The sequence below is a fragment of the Homo sapiens genome, chromosome 8 (genome assembly GCF_000001405.40).
Source record: "Homo sapiens chromosome 8, GRCh38.p14 Primary Assembly".
NCBI classification, from domain to species: Eukaryota; Metazoa; Chordata; class Mammalia; order Primates; family Hominidae; genus Homo; species Homo sapiens.
In genome coordinates, this window is record NC_000008.11 from 2,226,915 (window position 1) to 2,230,921 (window position 4,007).

Sequence of the window (4,007 nt, forward strand, 5' to 3'; positions counted from 1 at the left end):
TAGGGTTGTATGAGAAAACTCATTTCAGTCTCCTCATCCAGTAAAATATCCTAAAAAATCCAAACCAGAAAACCAGAAAGCAAGTGGGGAACACAGATCAAATCAAGGGCACAGCTCCAAGGCTGGTTTCAGACCTCTAAGGTAGCAAAGCAAAAGTGCGATTCAGCCTCTCAGCCAGAAAGAAGAGCTTCCAGCACCCTAAGGGTGGTATCCCAAAACCATCCGAAATGCCTGAAACAGACCCAAATCTAGAATTAAAGGCATTTTTCAAAAATGCCTGTGGTGTGTGTGTGTGTGGCCTTTGCCAAATGGAGTAGATTCCAAACAAATGCATAGATAGCTGCCAGTGTTATTTTTCTATCAAGCATCTTCTAAAACAGTAAGGTATAATTTTCATACAGTAAAATATATAGATTAGAATTGTACAGTCTGATACATTTTGACAAATTTATGTTTATATCCTCATCACTCTAATCCAGAGACATTGCATTTCTACAAGTCCAGAAAGTTATCCTCATCCCCTTGCTCATGACTCGGCCCCTGCCTTTGAGGCAGCCACCCCTCGGCATTTCTCGTCATTGGTTAGTTTTGCCTGTCCTGAAGCTTCGTATAAATGGAGTCAGTGAGCGCCTTGCCGCCTGCTCGTGGCCTTCGAGGCTCATTGTGTTTCCCGCTTCCACATGTCCATGCTATTTGCATTCTTACCATCAAAAGTCCAAGTCTGTTTCTCCAGCCCCGAGTCAAGGCTGGCCCTGAGATTTACTCTGTTCAACAGAAAGAGGTGGAGTTGACTTTGTGCCTGTCCAAACACTGGCCCTGAAGGGCATGTGTATGGCTTTGCTCTCTTTTATGAGGCTGCCGTGATCACGTGCACAGGCCAGACTAGCTTGTTGGGTGTTAAGTCATGTGACCTAGTTACCGCATTGCCCAGGCAGGCTCCAGGCTACCCTCTGACACGTGGGTGAGGCCATCCTGAACCCCTCAGTCCCAACGCCACCTGTCAGCTGACCACAGAGGCATGAACCAGCCCAGGCTGACTGATTGGCTGAACCACCCCCATTGACTGATTGGCTGAACCAACCCTATTGCCTTATTGGCTGAACCACCCCCATTGACTCGAGTTGTGATTAAGGTCAGTCGTTTTGGGGTGGTTTATGACACGGCAGTAAACCGCAGACCGTAGTTCAACGGAAATCTGATGCTCTTTCTGAGTTGGGCAATGCATGTCCATACATACTGGAGTATGCATATTAATGTATAAAACAGATGCTAATTTGTAAGGGGAGAAGTTGCATTCTGTTCAAACTAATATCAGGAAGTGAGGATTCTGCATAAAATGCAATACTGATTTCTAAGTATTAGGGAGAAAAATCAACCTATAAAAAAGATAAATAAGTGAAGAGTTAACCAAAAAAAACCCAAAAAACTTTCGTAAGGTCTTTGTGATGTAATGTTATAATTTGCTCTTTGAAATGCCTTTATAATGGACTGGGAGAGAAAAGATCATCCCCAGTTGGGGTGGGCACCATCCAATCGCCGCCAGCGCGGCTAGAAAAAGCAGGCAGAAGAAGGTGGAAGGAGCTGGCTTGCTGAGTCTTCCCACCTTTGTCTTTCTCCCGTGCCAGAAGCTTCCTGCCTTTGGACATCAGACTCCAAGTTCTTCAACTCCTTTTCCCAGAGCTGGCGACACCCCACTTGGCCCTTCTTGTATTCCGTAATGAATATTTTGGTAACGTGCTCCTCAAAGCCACTGGGTTGCTGGGTCATTGTCCCCTCCTTAGCAGCCAGTGAGTGGAGATTCAGGGAGGTCTCTCTGCACCCCCAGAGTGTGGAGCTGCCCTTTAACCACCAAGGGAAGCTCCCTCAGCCACGTGCTTCCCAGGACCTGGTGCTTGAGAAACGCTTGGATTAATTAGAGGGACCCAGAGCTGACGCTGCCGGCGCTCCGTGTGTGGGGCTGGGTGGCTCCACCGGAGCTGTGGCCACTGCGAGACCCCGACCCCTTGCTGCGTCCACTGCCGGCCTCACCCCCGTGCCTGAGGAGGCTCCCCAGTGTCTCCCTGGATCCCTAGGTCTGTGTCTTCCAGCACCGTGGGCCACGTGTGTCAGGCCCTGGGGCCAGCCTTGGACACGCTCCTCTGTCCTTGCCTCCCAGCCTGGCTTTGTCAGGTGTGACCTCTGTGAGAGCCTCTGTGAGACCACCCACACCTGCCAGCGTTGCTCCTACTCTCCCGCGCCTGCGTTCCAGCCTCTGTGGGCTCAGTGGGGATGGTTTCTTATGTGGCCCTGTCGAAAGGGTGTCTGTGTCCCTCGTCCCCTTGGACCGGTTGGGCTTCCCACCCAGAGGGCCGTCAAAGTGACCGTGGGGGCTTAGAAACCGCCTCACTTTGTGTTGTTGGCTGGAACCTGCACTCCCTCAGTGCTGAGCGCCGTTGAGGAACTCTGACTGCCCGAGGCCTCCTGCAGGCACCTGCAGGCCCCATCTGGGCCCGTGCACCTTGCAGCCTCCTTCCCCACAGGGCACCAGACATGTGAATGACGCTGTCCCGAACCCTCCAGTCCAGCCCCTGCAGCGGCTGAGCATCACCCACTGCTTTAGGGGAAACAGAGACCTCACCAGGTGAGTCCGCCTGAGTTCCTACCTAGAAACCCGGACAGGTGATAAAATGGCTGCTATTGAGCCACTGCGTCCTGGGGTAACGTGCAGTGAGGTGTGCCCGGGGCTTTCTAAATGCCCTTCCTCTTCTTCCCTTCCTTGAACACACACACGCCCGCCCTGCACCCTGCACCCTCAGACCCGTCCGTGTTCTGTGTGAACCTGCCTGTGAAAAATCCGTCCCTCCGGGCATCCCTTCCTCCTCCGGCCGACCCGTTTACCCCACACAAGAGAACTCACTTTCCAGCGTGGAGCCTCATTTATCGCCTGAACCACTTCTGAAAAAAATTAGGCAAGCCAGGCACGCTGGCTCATGCCTGTAATCCCAGCAATTTGGGAGGCCGAGGAGGGCGGATCATCTGAGGTTAGGAGTTCAAGACCCCGTCTCTACTGAAAATACAAAATTAGTCGGATGTGGTGGTGCACGACTGTAATCCCAGCTACTCAGGAGGCCGAGGCAGGAAAATCGCTTGAACCTGTGAGGCAGAGGTTGCAGTGAGCCGAGATCACGCCACTGCACTGCAGCCTGGGCGACAAGAGCAAAACTCCATCTCAAAAAAAAAAAAAAAAAAAAAAAAAAAAGAAATTAGGCAAATCCCTCAGGGTCAGTTTGTAGGAAAGCGTTTTTACTCATCAGCAGACAGGCTGCTTAGAGACAGTGCAGACCCTATAAACATCCTCCTGGAAATGAAACCCCGACAGGAAAGCCTAAGCCAGGGCAGAGAGGGAAGGAAAAGACACCGTCTCCTGTCGACGGCGAGTGCCGCCTCTGCTACTAGCTTTAAAAAGGCATTTATTTCCACAGACGGTTTCAATCCATCTTGATGGAATTAAACATTACAAAACAAAGTAAAAGTGATTAAAGCCTATCTCAGAACATAAAGGACAGCTTATTTCAAGGAATTGGATTCCTGGGAATTGAGTTAAGGGAAATGGAGAATCGAATTACGTGGAAGGCACCGCAGTGCCCCGCTTCCCTTCTTGACATCAGCCCATCCCTGGCAGGACGCAGAGCCACCAGAGCCAGAGCCACCGGCCCGAGCAGAACGATCATGTCCTAGTTATTCTCCTGAGCAGATTCAATCATTTTGGTCATTTCATAAGTTACCTACTGAGCAATGTCATACGCAGACAAATTGATTTCTCTTCGCATGTTAGAGCCACGGATTTGAGAAAATACAACCTGCTCCCCAGCGTAAGGTGATCTGCCCGCGTGGGGAGAGACAGCGTGTGGAAGGAGGTTCCCATGAATGCTGATCACAGAGTCTGTGAGCTTCCTCTGGAGCCAGTTTCCTCCTCAGCCTCCCTAAACCGAGTCCAGGAAAACCTGCCAGCTGTGGAACACTTTCAT

The 4,007-nt window shown here is 51.0% G+C and overlaps 1 annotated feature.

Annotated features, from left to right (window-relative positions):
• Window positions 2,433-2,933: an enhancer, noted in NCBI's record as "H3K4me1 hESC enhancer chr8:2177015-2177515 (GRCh37/hg19 assembly coordinates)". NCBI's record gives its function as "activates a minimal SCP1, AML or CMV promoter by ChIP-STARR-seq in naive H9 embryonic stem cells {active_cell/tissue: H9 hESC(naive)}" and the evidence as "EXISTENCE:reporter gene assay evidence [ECO:0000049][PMID:30033119]".